Below are 643 nucleotides of genomic sequence, written 5' to 3' on the forward strand. Positions count from 1 at the left end.
ATATGTCCCCTTGAAATGTCATTGCATAATTCCTTGAGGTCAGAAATCATGCCCCCTTGAGGAATATGGTGGCAGCTTACTGATAAGTCTTCTCACTTCTCTTGTTAGAAAACACACAAAGCAATAAGAACAGAGGCAAAAAAAAAAAAAAAAAAAAAAACCCTACATGCTATTTTTCAGTGAAATTAAGAGACAGAGAAAAGCTGCAAACTTCAAATTGCCTGTAAGCAGTGGGTGAGAAATTGTTGTGGGGAAGGACAAGGAATGTGGAAAGGGTGTAGCAATAGCAGAGCTAAGAAGAACTTTCCAGCAAATTAGTTGGTGGAGCACAGGGGGTTTTGAGGACAGTGAAACTATTCTGTATAATACAGTAATGATGGACACGTCTTTATATATTTGTCAAAACCCATAGCATGTACCAAAAAAAGGGGCGAACCCTAATGTAACTATAGACTTTAGTTAATAATAATGTATCAATATTGGTTTATCCATTGTACCAAATTTACCTTTTTATCTTACTAGTGCAAGATGTTAATAACAGGGGAAAGTATGTGTGAGGCTAGGATGCAGGGGTATGTGAAAGCTCTGTGCACTTGGATCACTTTCTCTGTAAACTCAAACTGCCAGAATAATTAAGCATTGA

The sequence above is a fragment of the Homo sapiens genome, chromosome 1 (assembly GCF_000001405.40).
Source record: "Homo sapiens chromosome 1, GRCh38.p14 Primary Assembly".
NCBI classification, from domain to species: domain Eukaryota; kingdom Metazoa; phylum Chordata; class Mammalia; order Primates; family Hominidae; genus Homo; species Homo sapiens.